At 45.2% G+C, this 19206-nt stretch overlaps 1 long non-coding RNA gene across 3 annotated transcripts; it reads left to right on the top strand.

Annotated features, from left to right (window-relative positions):
- Nucleotides 1-4550: 4550 nt before the first annotated feature.
- On the top strand, nt 4551-17532 carry LOC105378532 (uncharacterized). Of its 3 annotated transcripts, none has more exons than XR_946421.4 (5): nt 4551-4590; nt 4703-4804; nt 5349-5424; nt 9441-9540; nt 11636-17532. It is a non-coding gene; the product is annotated as an uncharacterized LOC105378532 (long non-coding RNA). The 3 variants fall into 3 exon arrangements; XR_946422.2 differs by lacking the exon at nt 11636-17532 and adding an exon at nt 9900-11591; XR_001747621.1 differs by lacking the exons at nt 9441-9540; nt 11636-17532 and adding an exon at nt 5523-6913.

The following is a 19206-nucleotide window of genomic DNA, read 5'->3' as shown; positions in this document are numbered from 1 at the left end:
CCAACACTGGCAATAGTGACATAGAAGTACATTTGGTTCTCCGTGAAGGAACTGTCCCTAGTCTACACGGCCCCAGTATTTAAAGGCAGAGAAGTGTTGTGCATGTCTATTTGAAAAGTTCTTCTCTTATTAACTCATAGCCCCAGGGGCTGATCTCTGATGTAGCTCCTTATTTAGGAGACAAATAACTCAGCTTGGCCTAGTCATGTCTGGTTTCAAGGTTTCCATAGAGCCTAGGATGGAGACAGACTGAGCTTCTGAAGTCTCGGCACCTTTCCTTTGCAGTCAAGGGACAGTCAGGGGCTCTTCTGTGAGATCACAGATAGGTGGTGTGTGGTGTGTGGTGTGTGTGGTGTGTGTGTGCAGGTGTGTATCCAGACATGTGCATAGTCGGTCCTGTCTTATGAGAAACGGTGTACCCCTGGGAATCACAGTGAAACGCCACCACATGTCCCTGGGGTTAACGCAGGACAAATCTCCAGAACAGCCTGAACCAGGCTGGCTGACCACAAATCCTCCTGTGAATGGGACCTCACTGTTGAAGGCTGGCTGGGGCCACTTGGTGGCTGGCATCTGCTAACTTTTAAGCTCAGAGGCTAGACTGCATCACAACTTCAGTTATGTGAATGCAAATGGCTTGGGTGCAAATGCTTGGGCTGTAGCAAAAGCAAAGTAGGAGATATGACCTGGGTCTCATGGAGCTTGGTCTTAGTGCTGTCAGGTGCAAGGCATTCCTCTTGATGTTGGAATCCCTCTGACTTGTTTGGGAGAGGAAGTTAAATTGAGGCAATATCTGTGTGTCTGTAGTATGAATGTCTCCAGCATACATTCTCTATCTAGGAATCTATTTCTGTTGTTTCTCTGTAAACCTTTATACTGAGCACCTGTTCCTTGCTAGGCACTAGTCCACATGCTGCTGAACAAAATGCGGTCCTTTTCTGCAAGAAGCTTACAGTCTAAGTGGGGAAGCAGATAAGTAAACCAGGAATTGGAGCACGTGGTGCCTAATGCTGCAAAGTGCTATAGAGCCACGAACAGAGCCACCTCCATGCCCAGATCTCAGGAAAGTCTTGGGCTTTTTGGAGAGACCTGCTTAGCTTCCTTTCTGCCAAGGCTGGCTCCTTCTAGCCACAAAGAGAATGGGACATCTGTCTTCCCATAGTGCCCACCCCCTGGTCAGTGTTGATAGCCATATGATCTGTCACCTGGCCAGGTACCTCTCCTTTCTATCTGTGGTTTGGTTACTTAAGCCAGTAATGCCTCCCTGCCACTCTTGTCCTAGCCTAGGTTGAATTTGTCTCCTGATACCCTCAGCCCCTGCAGTTCAGCTCATCCAGGAGGTGCCTGGTGATCTACTTCTCAACAAAACATCACTTGCCAATCGGTGAAATGGGAAGAGCTCTTTCAGGAGAGGAAAGAGAGTTTGCCAAGAGAAGGAGGAGCACGTGGAAATGGCCTGATCAGAACTAGACAGAAATCGGGCTGGCTAGGGGGACTCAGCAAGGCTGGGAAGATGGGTTAGGACTGGATTGTGAAGCTTTTTATAATCGGCCACACAAAAAGTATTCGCGTGGTGTCTGCCAAAATAGTAGTTGCAAAAGAACTTTGCATTATTTTAAAAGACTATACCCATGTCCAGGTACTATTATTGCATTAGGCACTCAAAGCTCTTGTTGCAAGTGGGTGTGGAGTCGGGAGGTCAGGACTCAGACCTTAGACCTTTTCTCTCTAACTCTACTTGATCTCACAACATTGATAACTTCAAAATTTGTCCTGTGCCCAGGCCACTCTTCTGACCTCAGACCTGCCCATCCATCTGCTTCCTGGACAGGCCCACTTAACTGTCCTTTGTGTATCTGAAACTCAACAAGCTGAGCCCAGACTTCTCCTCACCCAGTCTGTTCCTCCCGCAGTTTTCCCCGCATTATGTGGGTGGCAATTCCATCCTTCCTCTGTTTCGGCAAAAACCCTAGAGCTGTTCTACTTGACTTGGCTCTTTCTCTCATACCCCAAGCCAATTCCTTAGCTCCTTCCCTTGGTACTTCTTCCCAAATAGACCCAGAGTCCCATTGAGAAATACCACCTTGCTTTGAGCTTCCATCAACTTTAGTCAAGACCTTGGCTTCCCCTGACCTCTCCCCCTGTTTCCACTCTACCTTCATCTATTCCCAACCCAACAGCCAGAGGAATCCCATTAAATCTAAGTCATACCATGTCACTCTTATGCCCCAATCTCTCCAGGGGTTCTCATCTCATGCAGAGGAAAACGTGAGTTCTTGCCATGGTCCACAGGGGCTTCATGGTCTGGCATCCTCTGACCTCCCCAGCTTCCTGCCCTCATTCCACACTCCCTCGCTTCTCCACTCCAGCCTCAAGGATGCCAAACCCACTCCAACCTCAGGGCCTTTGCAAGTGCTGTTTTCTCTTCCCAGACATTAGCATGGCTCATTGCCTCACAGGTTTTTGCTTAAATGATATCTTTTCAAAGAGGTCTTTCTTAAGCACCTTTTGAAATATGTGCCCTCAGCAGTCTCAAATCCCTTCTTTGGTTGAGTTTTTTTCTAACATATTTCTTGCTTTATAACTTCCTATGTAATTTCTCCATTCATTTTGTCTTTCTCCTCCTTTTAGAAAGTAAGCTCTATAATCACAGGGATTTTTCTCAGGTTTGTTCACTGATAGATTCATTTGTGTCTAGAACATGTAACTGTGCATCACAAGTGCTTGATAAATTTTTATGGACTAAATGAATTGTGCCCAGAAATATAGGCACAGGTGACAGATTAGCTCTTAGTTATGTCCCCAACTCAGTTTCAAAGCTCTTGAACCTTTTGTAGTAGCAGACAGTTCCTGAGGCTAGGGATAGGGTGGGAGCTGGAGACCAGGCAGATAACAGAGCACAGCATCACTGCTGCCACTCACTCGGGTCACCTGCTGCTCCACGTGGCCCAGAGCTTCTGTGCTCTGTGCAGGGCAGGGGCCCAGACTGGGATGTTCCTGCTTAAAGACTGGACTCAGTAAAGTCATGCTATGAGATCATGTATGAACTAGGAGAAAACCTGCCCAATAGCATTGAACGCCATGGAAACCCATCTACTTCATACTTGGCTCCAAGAGGGACTATCTTTTTTAAAGCCTCCCCTAAAATATTGTTACCAGAAGTTGACCCTTGGAGAAGTTACATCATTGGTGTAATTCAAGAGACCTAAGGGAGAACATTTCATTTACAGTGCACCCAGGTCCTCAGTGCCCCCTAAGAGCTTGGCAGGAACAAACACAAGTCCTCCCAGGAAGGACACACTATGCGGTTACTCAGAACTCCCAGAAAAAGACTGCCAGTAAGTTTGAGTCCCCTGTTTACAATAATTACAAAATAGCAAGACGACAAGCCCTTTGAGCCAGAGTCAGACCAAACAACATATAACAGAACAGAGCTACGATGACACTTAATAATGAAAGTATGAATTCCAAATATACAGTAAGTATATACAGAAGGCACTGTTAACATAAGTAAGGTACAAGAGACTATAAAAAATGACCAGAAGCAAGAGTAAGTTTTGAAAATTGAAAATATAATTATAGGAATTAAGATCGTAATGGAGAAGTTTAAGATCAGAATTGACATAGCAGAAGAGATCACTGTGAAATGGAGGATAGATCTGAAGGATTTACCCAGAAACCATCAGAGGGACAAAAAGAGATAAAAAAATATATAAAGGAGAAATTAAGATGTGTAGAAGGTAAAGTAAGGCTAGTCAATAGATAGGTTTTGAAGTTCAAAGGAGATCGTGGCAAGAGTGGGGAAAAAATGATACTCAGTGAGATTACTGCTGAACATTTTCTGCAAATAATGGGAGGAAAAAAATCTGACTTCCTAAATCCTTTAAGCTGGTCTGCTAAAAAGAATCCACTTCTAGATGTGTGACAGTTAAACCTCAACACCAAAGACAAATAGAATGGCTTAAAGCAGCCTGAAAGAAGAGACAAATTACTAACAAAAGAAAAAAATGGTTATACTGGGAGCAGATTTCTCAATAGCAGCAAAAATATTATTCCATCATCTTTGGAAACCAGAAGATGGTGGAAAAACATCTTTGGATAAATAAAAGAACGTTAACCTTGTACAGCCAGTGAAACTGGCTTTCAAGAATAAGAGTGAATTACCTACATTTAGATAAAAACAGAACATTTACCACCCAGGGCTGGAACTAGGTGAGGCAAGTGAGGTGCCAGGAACATAAAATTTGAGAAGGACTCATTCTCAGTGATGTGAAGTTCAGGGTTAGTGCCTGAGAGTGAGGGTTAACACTGATATGGTTTGACTGTGTCCCCACCCAAATCCCATCTTGAATTGTAGCTCCCACAATTCCCATGTGTCATGGGAGGGACCCAGTGGGAGGTGTTTGAATCATGGGGACAGATCTTTCCCATGCTGCTCTTGTGTTAGTGAATAAGTCTCATGATCTGATGGTTTTATCAGGCAGAGTTTCCCTGCAGAAGCTTTCTCTTGCCTGCCGCCGTGTGAGATGTGCTTTTGCTCTTTCTTCATCTTCCACCATGATTGTGAGGCCTCCCCAGCCATATGGAACTGTGAGTCAATTAAACCTCTTTCCTTTATAAATTACCCAGTCTTGGGTATGTCTTTATCAGCAGCATGAGAACAGACTAATACAGACACATTTACTTTAATTTTACCTCCCAGGTGCCTCACTCTAGTCCTGACCCTGTTACCACCAAAATATCCCCACTGAGGAACTTCTAGTGAATATATTTCAAGAAGAAGGGAACTAACCCCAGGAAGAAGGTATGAGGTATAAAAAGAAATGAGTTAATGAAATACAAAATGTCTAGACAAGTGTAGATATTTTGAATGTACAAAAAGTAAGAAATGTTTAATATTTGGACTAAAAAGGGAAAGATGGAGCTGGACAGCCAGATGACAGTAGCATCTGAGCCAGGAGGGGATGACTGCTGTTAAAACAGTCAGCAATTCTCATATTGTACAAGAGGGTGATGATTGTCCTAAGATATGTGCTTGTTGGAATTTCTCTGGTAGCTGCTGAGTGCTGCTTCTTGCTGGACTTCCTCTGTGACCCTTGGCTTTCTCTGCCTTGCATTTTGGCCGCATGGGAACCTGGTTGCTCTCTCATCAGGGTCCATGGGCTCCTCCACATAAAAGGCCACATGACCTGCATCTTCAAGCCCCCCTCAGTGTCTTTGTAAACAGAATGTACCCAGAAAATATGTGTTTAACACCTTAGACTCACAGTTTTGGTGGTTTCTGTTGTTGTTGTTGTAGTTGTTGTTGTTTTTTGGCCCAAACTGAATGAAGTTGTTTATTCTGCTAGACTGAAAGCTTCATGAGGATAAACTGAGACTCTTCGCTATTGAAATTCTATTGCCAGGCGCATCCCCCAGCCCACAGTAAGTACTCAAAGAATCTTTCTTGAATGGCTTTATAACCATTTTTGATGGAGAAATGTAACATATGGGTATTACCCTTTGGTTTTTCATTTCTCTAGTCTACAGATATTTGAGCACCGATCACGATGGTTAATTTTAGGTGTCAACTTGTTTGGATTAAGGCATACCTAGAGAACTGGTAAAGCATTAATTTTAGGTGGATCTGTGAGAGTGTTTCCAGAGGAGATTGGTGTGTGAGTCAGTGGATTGAGTGGGGAAGATCAACCGTCAATGTGGGTAGGCACCATCCAGTCATCTGGAGGCCCGGAAAGAAAAAAAGGCAGAGGAATGGTGGATTCTTTCTCTCTCTCTCTCTCCTGGGGCTGGGAAACCCTTCTTCTCCTGCCGTTGGACATCAGAACTCTGGGCTCCTCGGCCTTTGGGCTCCAGGACTTACACCAGCCCTCCCTGGGTTCTCAGGCTTTTGTCCATGAACTGAGAGTGACACCATCAGCTTTCCTGGTTCTGAGGCCTTCGAACTTGGACTGAGCCACACTAGTGGCATCCATGGGTCTCCAGCTTGCAGATGGTCTATTGTGGGACCTCTCCATAATCGCCTGAGCCAATTCTCCTGATAAATCTCCTCTCATATGTCTATATTTTCTATTGATTCTATCTTTCTGGAGAAGTCAAATACACATACTACCTTCAAGCACTGTTCTAAGTACTACAGAGATAGGCAATGATGAGCAAAATATAGACATGATTCCTGTCTTTACAACCCTTGCTGTCTAGGCTCATGATTTTTAAACATTTCAACTGGTACACACTTACCACACAATGATAAAGATTTGATGTATCTTTAGTACATGACGTACTCTGATGTTTTCTATTTTATTCATGTTTTTTCCTAAATTAAAAGGGCTGTCACAACCTGCTAGTTGATTTTATGACCCATGACTGCTCAGATTATTCTTGCAGTTTGAAAACCATTGACCCAGTGCAGAGGTTCGGAATCTCTTCTCTGTCATGGATTCCTCAAAAACATATTTTACAATGCACAAAACAATGTATATAGGATTAGAAAGGAAACCCACTACCTTAAAGTGCAATTACAAGAATATTTTAGTAAACGAATGTGTCATATATTAATATGTGTGCTTCATTATTAATGCATTCAACACAAGATCTGACAACCAACTCATATTGCTGTAATTTTGAAGTGATGAGCAGAAATGCTATTTTTAGAATTCTGCAACTGTAATGTGATATTAAAATATCTATGATTATTATTAGTGACAAAGTCATAGGCACTGCTAATACTACTTTTGAGTGTCACATTCATGATTGAAGGAATGCTACATTTCAGGTTAGTGAAAACAAAGAAATGTTTTTTCACCATCCAAATTAATAAATCCCAAAATGTCTGTGGATCCCCAGATAGGAATCCCTGGTCTAATGGATCCACATTTTATCTCAGTAATACCAAAAAAAAATTTTTTTTCTAAGACAGGGTCTCAATTTGTCACCTAAGTCAGAGTGCAGTGGTGCAAACATGGCTCTTTGCAACCTCTACCTCCCAGGCTCAAGGTATCCTCCTGCCTCAGCCTCTTGAGTAGCAGAGACTATAGGTGCATGCCACCACGCCTAGCTAATTTTTGTATTTTTTTGTAGAGACGGGGTATCACCATGTTGCCCAGGCTGGTCTCGATCTCCTGGGCTCAAGCAATCTGCCTGCCTCAGCCTCCCAAAGTGTTGGGATTATAGACCTGAGCCACTGTGTCCAGCCCTAATCTCAAACTTTTTATTGCAACAGGATCAGAGGTGCTACTCTTTTCTTGTAACACTGAAATGAGAGTACCAAAGAGGAAAAAGTAGGTAAATTATGTTTGCTTAACAACTGTGGGAATCAGCCAGGGGGGCCCTTAACTGCCCAAGGCTGATCATTTTCCCATAAGCCACTGGGTCTTTCCAGTAGGTCAGATCAAGAAATTCAGATCCACGTCCCAGGTAGACTTGCAACCACACCTCTTGTGGGGGCTGCTCACTGGGGACCTACTGATTTTAAAAGCCAGGAAAAGAAGAACGGCTGCATAGAGGTAAAGGCAGCAAGCCCACTGGTGAGGTGTGGGCAAACAGGAATCCCAAGGAACCCCCTGCAGCCCCTCCACCTGCTCCACCTGATCTGAAGCCAGTAACCCACACAAGGGGGAGCCGGTCCTGCTGTCTGGTTCACTCCCGAGTGGCCAGGTTCAGTTGGAAGGAAGAACATCTTCTAGAGGCAGCTGTGTGGGCGTCTCAGTGGCGTCTCACTTCCATTGTGATAATACATGTGTGGCCCTCAAGGGACATCCCTTCGAGCTGCTAATAGGTTGACATTAAAAAAAGATGGGGAAATACCAACAAGTACTCTGAACCAATTTAGCGTTGTTCAATCCACCACGAGAGCCGAGCGTGGGAGGGAGCGTTTTATCAGCTCCCCGATGTTTGTCACTGAGAAGGTGCCTGCTTGCTAACACGTCGTGGAGAAAGTCACTTCGAGACTGTAACTGTTGGGTAAATAAGAGGTTTCCTTGTGCCTTATAGGCCATGGGAGGTGAATTCTTTGAAAGAGCTGAACATTGACTTAGAAAGGACGGTTATTGCAGCCACCGCTGCTATCCCATGACTTATTGAGGGGCCAGAGGAGGAACCCCACCCCAGGTTCTTCTTGTTCCATTTTCCATCTTCTTGTTCTCATCTTGTTAAACAGAAATGAGACCGTCAGTGATAAAGCTTAGGCAGGAAATTAGCAGTTTGCATGATTTGGAATGTATGATGTTTAGTTTTATGCATTAACTTGGCTAGGCGATAGTAGCCAGTTGTTTAATCAAACAAGAATCTAGGTGTCACTGTGAAGGTGTTTTGTAGATGCGGTTAGCATATACTCTCAGTTGACTTTAAATCAGAAAGACTGTTATCCTCAATAATGGGGCAAAGTCTCCTCCAATCCGTTGAAACTGAGGTTTCCCAGAGAAGAAGAAATTCTATTTCAAGACAACTGCATTAACTCCTGCCTGGGTTTCCAGCCTAAGTTTCACACTTGCCGCCCCCAGAATCACATGAGCCAATTCCTTAAAATACATTTCTTAATATATATTGGTTCTATTTCTCTGGAAAACCCTGACTGATACAGGATGCATTACTTTTTCCCCCTGTTTTAAATAGTTTTAAGGCAAGAATCTGAAAGCAAAGTGACTTAAACACAACACACACACAGGCACACAGACACACACATACAATCTATGAGGCTGGAAGAAGAGGCCTCCGGGCCAGTGAGGGGCTGGAAAAATAGAAACATTTGTCTTTCTTTTTCTTTTTCACTTCGTTTAGTGTGCAGAGAGGAGCAGCCAGTTTTTATCCATCCAATGGGAGATGAGGTCCTTCCTCATCTCTCACTCATGTTCCTGTCTTCTGTGCTGACTTTCACCACCACGCTGCTGCCCAAACCACACCTGACACAGTCCCATAGTCCCCACTGTCTTCACTCCGCTGTCCAACATCATGGAGGTGGCCTCACCTTACTGATGCTTTCTGCCCCATTTTCAGTCTTGAAGCTTTTCCAACCTGGGTTCCTGTGGCCCTGCTCCTTCTAGTTCTCACTGCTCATCTCTCTGCATCTTCTCAGTCTCCCTGTTCTCTCTCCACCTGCCCCATCAGAGGTTCTCTGAGTCTCTCTCAATCAACACACAGTTCCTGGGTAATTTCTTCACTTGGATGGCTTCAACCACCTCCTAAATCTAGATGATTCCCAAATCTTCCTCCCCATCCTACAACTGTCCCTCCTTTAAAGCCATCAACCAACTATCCCCTGGACTCACCCACCTCAGACTCAACGTATCTCCAAATGGACCCATCATTCCCACCCCCCAGTTCTTGATCTCAGTGGGTAGAATTTCCATCCACTAGCCACCCAAGCTAGCCTCTCCCGGAATAAGAACTCAGTCATTTCGTATGCCTGATCTTAACAGGAATATAAAGTCTTTTACTTTACTCAGGTGAATGGAATTGGATTATTCTGAAGCACAATCAGTATTCCAAGTACATGGTTTCTGTAATGGGATAATTGGCTGCCCCTGGTCCTAGACAACACCTGAAGTAAGTAACAAGTGCACCTATGTTTTTAATCAAAGTAAAAAAATAATAACCAAGAATAGTCAAAAGGCACAGTGAATGTGTTAGGGGTACTTCTGATAAGTCCATGGCACTAAGCAGTTGGACTGTGACTTAATCTATTTGCATTGCTATAATGAAATATCTAAAACTGGATGGCTTAAAAACAACAGAAATGTATTTCTCACAGTCCTGGAGTCTAAGATCAAAGGAAGTCCAAGATCAAGGAACTGGCAGACTTGGTGTCTGGTGAGGTCCTAATGCCCAGTATATAAATGACCATTTTAGTGTGTCTTCACATGGCAGAAGGGGACAAGGGAGCTCTCTGGTGTCTCCTTTTTCAGGGCACTAATCCCATTCATGAAGATTCCACCCTCAGGATCTAAGCATCTCCCGAAGGCCCTGCCTCCTAATAGCATCCCCTTGGAGGTGAGGATTTCAACTTGGGAATTTTGGGGTGACATGAACATTCAGGCTGTAGCAGAACACTTACTTGTGAGTGAGTGAGAGGGACAAGATGCGGTTAAAGAGGCTGGCAGAGAGCGAACCACAAGAGGACTTGAGACCTTGGTAAGGATATAATCTTTGTCCTAAGTACAATGGGAAACCATTGGAAGGTTCTGAGCTCCATTTGGAGCAAGATTAGATGGGGCCAGAGTAGAGCTCATACTTCTTATTCTGGTTCAGTTGGTCTGGGGTGGCCCTGGCGTCAGTGGGATTGACAAGTTCCCCACATGATTCCAGCTGCTGCCCGGGGAGGACTTTCTGCACTGTACAAAATCCTCCAGAACCTGAGACTCTGCTGTGACCCCATGAGAAAGGTTCATCTGGTGTCTACCTCAATAGCCCCAGCAGCCATGGAACATGCATTCCTCACTGGGACAGCCTGGCTCTTCTTTAGGCAGCTCTAATGGTCAGAAAAGTCTTGTCTATTTCAAGTACAAATCTCATTGGTTCTGTCCTCTGCCTTGGGTAAGCATTCCGGTTCCTTTAACAGCCCACACATAAGCTGGATTCAGGGACCTTCATTTCCTTCCTTCCTTAGCTGTCCTGAGGCACTAATTTGGGTTGGAGTTAGGACTCGCCTTTAACGTTGATAGAACCTGTTTTCATGCGTAACTACCCAGAATTCATGGCAGCCTGATCAGCTAAGCTGGGCAGGCAGGCCTGGGATGACGTCTCTATGTCCCTGATGGCCCCTGGAAGACATAGGTCCAGAGACATTGGGGCCATGACCAAGATCACAGAATTGGCAAGCAGAGTCTCAAACCCATGGGGTTCCTCTCACTGACCACACCGCCTCATGCTGCCCTGGAAGGGCTAGAAGTTCTGAAAACTCTGAATATGGCCCCTACCCCAGAGAAACTAGAGGCTAAGTGGTGAACTAGCATGAATGCTGCCTGTTGTGTGCCAGAACCTTCCAGAATAGCTCACTTAATCTAAGGGTTCAGCTACTGTTGTCAACAGTTTGCTAATGGAGGTTAAGGTGAAAAAGATGGCAAGCAATGGACTCCATTCTAGGTCATTCTGCTTCCAAAGCCCATGGCTTTCTACTCACCCATGCTGAAGTTGCTTCTAAGCATGAGCCCATGTTAAAAACAGAACAAAACTAGCACCTGCTATGTGACAGTACAGGGTTAGGAGCCCCATGTGTCCTGGGTAGGTTTGCAGATGGTTGGATCAAAGTGCAGCAGCTGGTGGGAGATGCAGGGAGGCAAAGCGGAGGAAAACTGTCTCTTGGCTGATGTCCGTTGACCTGCAGCCCAAGAAGCAGTTTTTAGAAATCTTCCCCCACCAAGAGGAAAGAGAGGAGGTGCAGCTGAGTGACATCTAGGGTTGGGGAGAGACAATGGAGCCAATTACCTAGGTAAAGTCACCAAGCAATAACTAGCTAGAGGCTTGTCCAGAAATTCTCATGGCTTGCTTTGATGATCATTTGTCTGAGTTGCGTTTCATTTCGATTTTTCCTTCAATTTAGATCCCATCTGCTGCTCTGTGTGCCTGAGCCCACCCCTAGAGACACAGGCATGCAATTTTCCAGCTCCTACGCATTTTCTTTTTCTCTTCTCTTTCTCTTTAGGTTTAATTTCTCTGAAAGGCTCTGCCTTGAGCTTGCTTTAAAACCTGCAATTATAAGGAGACACCTAATGAGACCAGGAGGAAACTTCTACACCGCACAGCTATTTTTAAAAAATGGGATTAACAGGAGAAAATGTCAAACAGGGGGATCTCCATGTTTCTGCAATGCATGACAGGTTACCCAGCGTTCCAAATAAGCATGCTGTCCTTAGCACACATCTGGTGGGCTGCATTCCTGGGGTCCCTGGGCTGTCTGACCTTGCCTGAGATGTGTGACTGGATCTCATCTGGCTGGGGGTCCTCTGGCTGGTGCTCCCAAGCCTGGAATGCCTCCTGGTCACGGTCAACAGAGAAGTGCTCCAGGAAAGGTCACGGAGTTTGGAGGCAGAGCTCTGACCCCAACCCCTACACGGCAGCATTTCCAAGAGAGGTTTGTTTTCCTCCCCAAGCACATTATGGGTAATGACTTGGATTGTGGAAATTGCAAACAGCATGTGTCATAATGAATATTTTGACTTGGAACACAGCATTCTCTGTGAATCCTAATGTCTGCAGAAACTCAAGGGGTGACAGAAAAATCTATCATGAAAGTACCATTCACACAGTGTAGCTATCAATGGGAATTTAATTAAAGAAACATTTATTTAGTGCCTGCTGTGTACCTAGCACCATGCTGAGCACTTAGGATATGAGGAGGAGGATGGGGGTAGGAGAAGAGACAGAATCAATATGTAAGTTTATGAGTAAACACAGGTGCTTCTGCACAGAACAGTGCAGAAGTAGAACAATGACCAATGTGGTAGAAGCCGATTGGGACTCAGGACCTAGTGTTTCCAAGATGAATCAGCAAACACCCCGATCCAGTGGCTCATTTCTAATCAGTCTGCCTCCATTAATTACGATCCCCACGGCTCACTGTCTTCTTGGCTGAAGCAAACCCCCAAGAGTGTAACTGCTCTAACCGAATAACTGTACTCCCCTACTTCTGGGAGGGCAAAACCAAGAAGGTGAGGGCATGTGGGGAGGAGGATAGGGGTGGGAGAGAGGACAGAGAGAATCAATACATAAGTAAACCCAGTGGCCTCTGCACAGAACTGAGGATAAAAGTATTTGCATTTTATAGGGCTTCTGTATGTGTGTTGCGTTTGACCCTCACAAACAACCAAAGTAGCTATTACTGTTTCCTTTATACAGTTGAGAAAACTGACATTCAGAGAGGAGAGGTACATTGTCAAGGTTCACACAGCCAGCAAACCTCCAAACCAGGGCGGAACGAGGTTTTCTGTCTGCAGCCCTGCAGGCTGCATGCTCCAGCAGGGAGCTCCAAACTTCCTCCATGGTTCCCGCAGGGTCCTTCCCCATCCCGCCTGCCCAGGGCTCCTCCTCTTTCCTGGGGAGAGCTCACTGCAAAGTCAGTGTCATCTCACGTGTTGAGGAAGTGACTGCCCCCTCTTCTACCCATCAGACATGAGAGCACTTGTTTGTTATCTGATAACTGATTTCACTCCCATCCCTTCATGTCAATAACTTCACACAAAACGCCCTACAGCTGCTGAAAGCACTGAGTGCAAGAAGGCCAGGTGAACTGGGGGAAATAACGTCCTGCTCACATACTCCTTAAATTTCTATGCTAGCTACTCAAGTTTTATGGAGTTAATTTAAGACGTATACCCTGCATTCATTCAAAAGGTTTGACATAGCGAGTTTGGATGCACGACAAATTGATATTCAAGGATGAAACAGAATAAACATCACCTAAAAGCAAGGGGCCCATGAGCTGATTTCTATCATCTAATGCTAAGCTTTTTGAAAGCCAAGGAAAGTTTTTGAAATGTCATCTTCCAATGAAAGAAGAAATGCAAACTCATGTCTTGGAATAGGGACTAAACTCAAGCCTGGACTCATCACAAGGGTCTTTGGATAAAAACTGATCTATAACCCAAGGGGCCACAGCTTGGAGTGCATGGACACCCCTTTTATCCCATCCCCCACAGGGTGCCCCACTTCTCCGCAGACAGTCACACGGCAGGAAGGAGTTTCTCACCTGAGACCTTGGTGACACCAACTCCACAAGAGAAAGCAGAGCCCAGAGCAAAACAGGGAGCTGGGTCCAAGTGTGTGATCCAAGGAGGAGACAGAAGCAGATTGCAGCCCTAGAAGTGGAGAGGCAGGGGGCTGGGAGCGGGAGCTGTCGGTGAGGAGGGCACACTGGGCAAGGTGGAAGGGCTGAGCTGCGGGACGCATCAGATTCCATGGACCACTGTGGTGACGTGATGGGCAGGGAGCTAAACTGAAACTCAGAGGTGCATTTCTACTAAGACCGGGGTGCAGAATCCCCTGGTGATTGAGTCAGAGTGAAGACAGATTCTGGAGAACACAGACGCTGTCCTGCGCTGCACTCACCCCACTTACGTGTGGGCTGAGTCCTAAGGCCATTGATCCAGGCCAAAGCCCTGCCCAGCTTTACTCCTTGGGGCTTGAGACGACAAAGTCCAGCCCTGTGACCTGGTTGCCATCTCTCATAGCCACTGAAGGGCAGGATAAGGGTGGGGGTCAGGGATGGGAAGTCCCACCCACATGCTCCTGTCCCAAGCCTCAGGGCACACTCCACTTGGCCCCCAGCTCAGCTAAGACTAAATTCTGGCTCCCGCCCCAGCCACCCATCCTTAGTTTTAGATGTAACCAACAAAAAGAAGTGAATCAAGTGTCTTGAACCAGATGCTCTCCCCGAGCTCTTCCCTCCCTCTGCCCACAGCTCAGGATCTCTTCCTAGGCTATACTTGGGAATGGCTCAGTGCCATGGGCCCCAAACCTGGCTGCACACTGGAGCTATCTGGGCTGCTCATTGATGGTGCAGATGCTAGGCCCCTCTACAGAGCTGCTGATTCTGTAGCGTCAGGCCTGATGCCAGCAGACATGTTTTGAGTGAGCAATCCAGGTGATTCTAATACATGGTCAGGCTGGGGAATCACGTATCCAAGGGCTAATGTGCGGTTTCACCACCTACCAGCTGGTGGTGTTAGCAGGAGCCTCTACTCTTTGCCCGGCCACATTTTTCCTGTTTATAAAAGTGCCCTGGATAATGTCTGAGGTCTGAGCTGCCTCTAACCACCTGTTTGTCCCCAGGGTGGCCTCACTGGTGCCTGTGGCCCTCCTTTCTTCACATTCCCCTGGGAGCTGGTCTGAGGGGAGGAGAGGGCAGAAGCCCAGGGCTGGCAGGGCACCAGCACATCCCCGACCTCCTGGAGACCTCGGCCAGGTCCCTTCCCCTCTCTGGGCCTCGGTTCAGGGTAAACCTGTGGGGAGGTCAGCAGGTAACCACCCCTTTGTCTTTCCTTTTCTGGGGGATGTTTTTCTGGGCAGAGAGCAAAGCACCCTGAAGCAAAGCCCAGAACCCTGGGTGGGAGTTCACCCTTGTGGCAGTGAGGTCTCAGAGGACAGCTTGTGGGGGGTGGGCTCTGGGGGGTGGGCCTTGCCCTGCCAACAGCCAGCAGCTGACTGGAGCTGTGTGAGTTGGGGAAGGGGTTTTGCTCTGTGTCCTGCCCAACCCAGGAGACCTAGAAGGCTGGGCACAAAGGCGTGCCCACTCCTGGCTCTGCTCGTCCATCCTTCCTCTAGTGCCTCAGTTAGGGCCCATAGGAGCTGGGCATTCCGGACGGGGAACCTGTAGAAAACGCTCCCTTGAGCTCTGTCTCTGTAGAGCTGTCTAGAACAGGAGAGAAGCTAAACCAGGTCCCCCACCACCACACCCATGAAATCTTGAGGCGGCTCCTTCCCATCTTGATTTTGCGTCCATTCTCCAGCTCTGCCCACCCTCAGAGGCCTTCCTGTCCTCCCTGTCCTCCCTAGCTGGTGCTCCAAGCCTTCTTTTCACCTTCCTGTGTGTGAGGGGGTAGTCTCAGAGTTAACTGAAATAAATCTGATTAAAAATTTCACACTAGGTGTAAATCACTTGTTAAACTAGGGGTTCTCAAACTGGGTTCCATAGACAGAATTCAATCTATGAAGTCGGATGGAAAATTAGGTCTTCATTCTCACTAACTTCTAATTAAAATTTAGTATTGGCCAGGCGCGGTGGCTCATGCCTGTAATCCCAGTGCTTTGGGAGGCCTAGGCAGGTAGATGACCTGAGGTCAGGAGTTTGAGACCAGCCTGACCAACATGGAGAAACCCTGTCTCTACTAAAAATACAAAATTAACCGAGTGTGGTGGTGGGTGTCTGTAATCCCAGTTACCTGGGGGGCTGAGGTAGGAGAATCGCTTGAACCCAGGAGGCAGAGGTTGCAGTGAGCCAAGATCACGCCATTGCTCCAGCCTTGGCAACAAGAACAAAACTCTGTCTCAATAAATAAATAAATAAATAAATAAATAAGTATTACTTTCAATTGCAAGTGAGGAATAGATTATAGGGATGTCAGGTGGCTTGTGACTTTGTCACCAACAGAAAGCACATGCATCTTGATATCACTTTACAATTGTTGCAGGCATTTGAAATATTGTTTCAGCTCATATTTTGGAATGATGGTAATGTTTAGGCTGCCACTAGATCTTGTCATTTAATGTGCTAACAAAGTACATATATTACTATATTGCAAATGCAAGTATTTAAAAATATTTTGGTAACTATATTTTAATATTACTGGCTTCCTTAGAAATCTTATCTATTTTACCTCCTTCTTTGAAATGTGCTATTTGGAGGAGTCCATAGGTTTCCCAGGCTGGCAACAGGCCCACACAAAAGGTTAAAGACCCCTGCTCTAAAAGAAGATGAGTTAGCATAGATGAATTTCATTTTATTGGGAGAATTTAAGGCAGTGTGAAAAAGCGAAGAATTTTCATAATGAGGAGAAGGTAATTCTGCATATTTGTCAAGGTTTCCAGGAGCTAGAAGAGATCTTAGAGAGAAACAGCTTTCCTTGTTATTAAATCAACTTCTTTTGCCATAATTTATATACAGTAAAATGCACCAATTTAAAGTGTTGCAACCCTATGAGCTCTAACAAAATACTTGCATAATCACCAGTACAGTTAAATTACACAATATTCCCTTGGCTGGGCACGGTGGCTCATGCCTGTAATCCCAGCACTTTGGGAGGCCAAGGCAGGCGGATCACTTGAGGTCAGGAGTTCGAGAGCAGCCTGACCAACATGGAGAAACCCTGTCTCTACTAAAAATACAAAAATTATCTGAGCGTGGTGGTGCATGCCTGTAATCCCAGCTACTCGGGAGGCTGAGACAGGAGAATCGCTTGAACCTGGGAGGCAGAGGTTGCGGTGAGCCGAGATTGCGCCATTGCGCTCCAGTCTGGGCAACAAGAGCAAAAATCCGTCTTAAAAAAAAAAAAGAAAAAAAAAGTACACGATATTTCCGTCACCCCCAAAATATCGGTTTTATGCATCTTTATAATCTCTACCATCCCAAACATAAATAACCATTGATCTATTTTTTATTACTGTACATTAGTTTAGTCTTTTTTTTTAACATTTTATATAAATGGAATAAAACAGAATATACCACAATTGTTTGATGGACATTTGGGTTGTTTTCAGTTTTTGTTTATCACAAATAAAGCTACTGTGAACATTCTTTCTGCAGACACATTTTCATTTCTCCTGCAACAAAACCTAGGAGTAGAGTTATTGAGTCATATAGTAAGTTAATGTTTACCTTTAAGAGAAACAGCTTTCCTTGTTGTTAAATCAACTCTATTCTGCCATAATTTAAATACAATAAAATGCACCCATTTAAAGTGTTACAACCCTATGAGCTCTAATAAATGTATATACTTGCATAACCACCAGTACAATTAAAGGACACACTTGTTTATTACAAATAAAGCTACTGTGAACATTCTTTCACAAGATACAAAATGATACAATCATTTTGTATTCCCAAGAACAATGTGTGGGAGTTTCAGTTGTTTCACATTCTCTTCAACACTTAGTATTGTTGATCTTTAATTTTAGCCATTTGAATGGGTATGTAGTGGTATCTCATTGTGGTTTGAATTTGCACTTTGCTGATGGCTAATCATGTTGAGACCTTTTCATATGCTTGTTTGGCCACTGGCATATCTTTTTTTGGAAGCAAGGCCTTAATCTTTTGCTCATTTTTAACAGGTTATTTGTCTTATGTATTCTGGATACCATTCTTTTGCCAGACTATGTATTGCAAATATTTTCTCCATTCTGTAGCTTGTCTTTTCATTTCTTAAATGGTATTTCAAGAGCAGAAGTTTTTTATTTTGATGAATTTCCAATTCATCAATTTTTAATTTTACAATTAATGCTTTTTGCATTCTATCAAAGACACCTTTGCATGCCTCAAAGTTGCAAAGATTTTCTCCCATCTTTTCTTCTGGAAGTTTTATATTTTCCATCTTTACATTTGGGTCTTGAGACACTTCAAGTTAAGCTCAGCACATAGGGTGAGGGATGGGTGGAGGTCTGTCTATTTATTTATTTTTGTATGTGGCTATTCCAACACCATAGGATGAAAAATTATCCTTTCCCCCACCGACTTATCCTAGCATCTTTGTTGGAGTCAATTGATCATCTATGGGTCAGTCTATTTCTGGACTCTATTCTATTGGTTTCTATGTCTAATCTTACATCCAGCTTTATTTTTAAAGTTGAGAAAATTACAGCTAAGAGAGTGAAGAGCCTTGTATCAGGCCAAATGACATAAGTTAGAAGCCAAGATGGAATGTGATTCTGTAAATATCCATCTTAAACTCTTGTTGAAAGTCACCAAAGAGGGAGTGTAAGTTGCAGTGTGGATATTGACGCTGGGACAGTGGTTCCCTGGGTGCTCCCGAGCTTGCCTGCGGGGCCCCTGCAGAAGGGAGAGGCATTAGGAGCTAGAGAGATGGAGCTGGCCTTTCTGGGAGCAGTTGTGTGACCTTGCACAAGTTGCTCCATCCCTGGAGGCTCCTCAATGGTAAAATGGGATAAGAAAGACACTCACCTCCTAGGAATATTGAGGTATTAAATGAGATGGTGTTTTTGGAGTATTTAGTGCAGCATCTGGGACTGGATAGGTGTTCAGGGTAGGTAGCTACTCACAGCGTTAGGCAGCATAAGGGTCTTCCCCTGGAGCTGATATTAGAGATGCTCCCATGCTGGGGAGAGTGGCCCCCACAGACTGAAGCATCCCATTCCCATTCCCAGTTACAGCAGCTTTCCTGATTCCTTTTTCTTCTGGGGCTGGGCTGACCTACAAGGAAACTCACAACTCCCCTGAAGACAGCCAAATTCAGCATTGGAGGGCAAGAAGAGGTCCGTCTGCTTAGAACAGTGGCCTGGAGCCCACCTTAAGAGAATGTTTGTGGGGCCCCTGCCACTCCTTCACTTCCCAGGAGTGAAGCCCCATACACAATGTCCATTCTCTACGGGCTTAGTGAAGTTAGAGTCAGCTGCATTAGTCCCAGGTGGGTGCTGGGCCATCGAGCACCACGGGATACCCGGCTGCATCACGTCTGGATCTTCTTGCTCAAATACCTGGCCCCAGGGTCAGGCTTGAAACTGCTGTGCAAATTCACTCAGAAATGGATCAAGCTGTAATGTTGTAAG

This window comes from Homo sapiens, chromosome 10, assembly GCF_000001405.40.
Source record: "Homo sapiens chromosome 10, GRCh38.p14 Primary Assembly".
Taxonomy (NCBI): Eukaryota; Metazoa; Chordata; class Mammalia; order Primates; family Hominidae; genus Homo; species Homo sapiens.
Note: the sequence above shows the minus strand (reverse complement) of the source record. Positions and strands in the feature narration are given on the sequence as shown.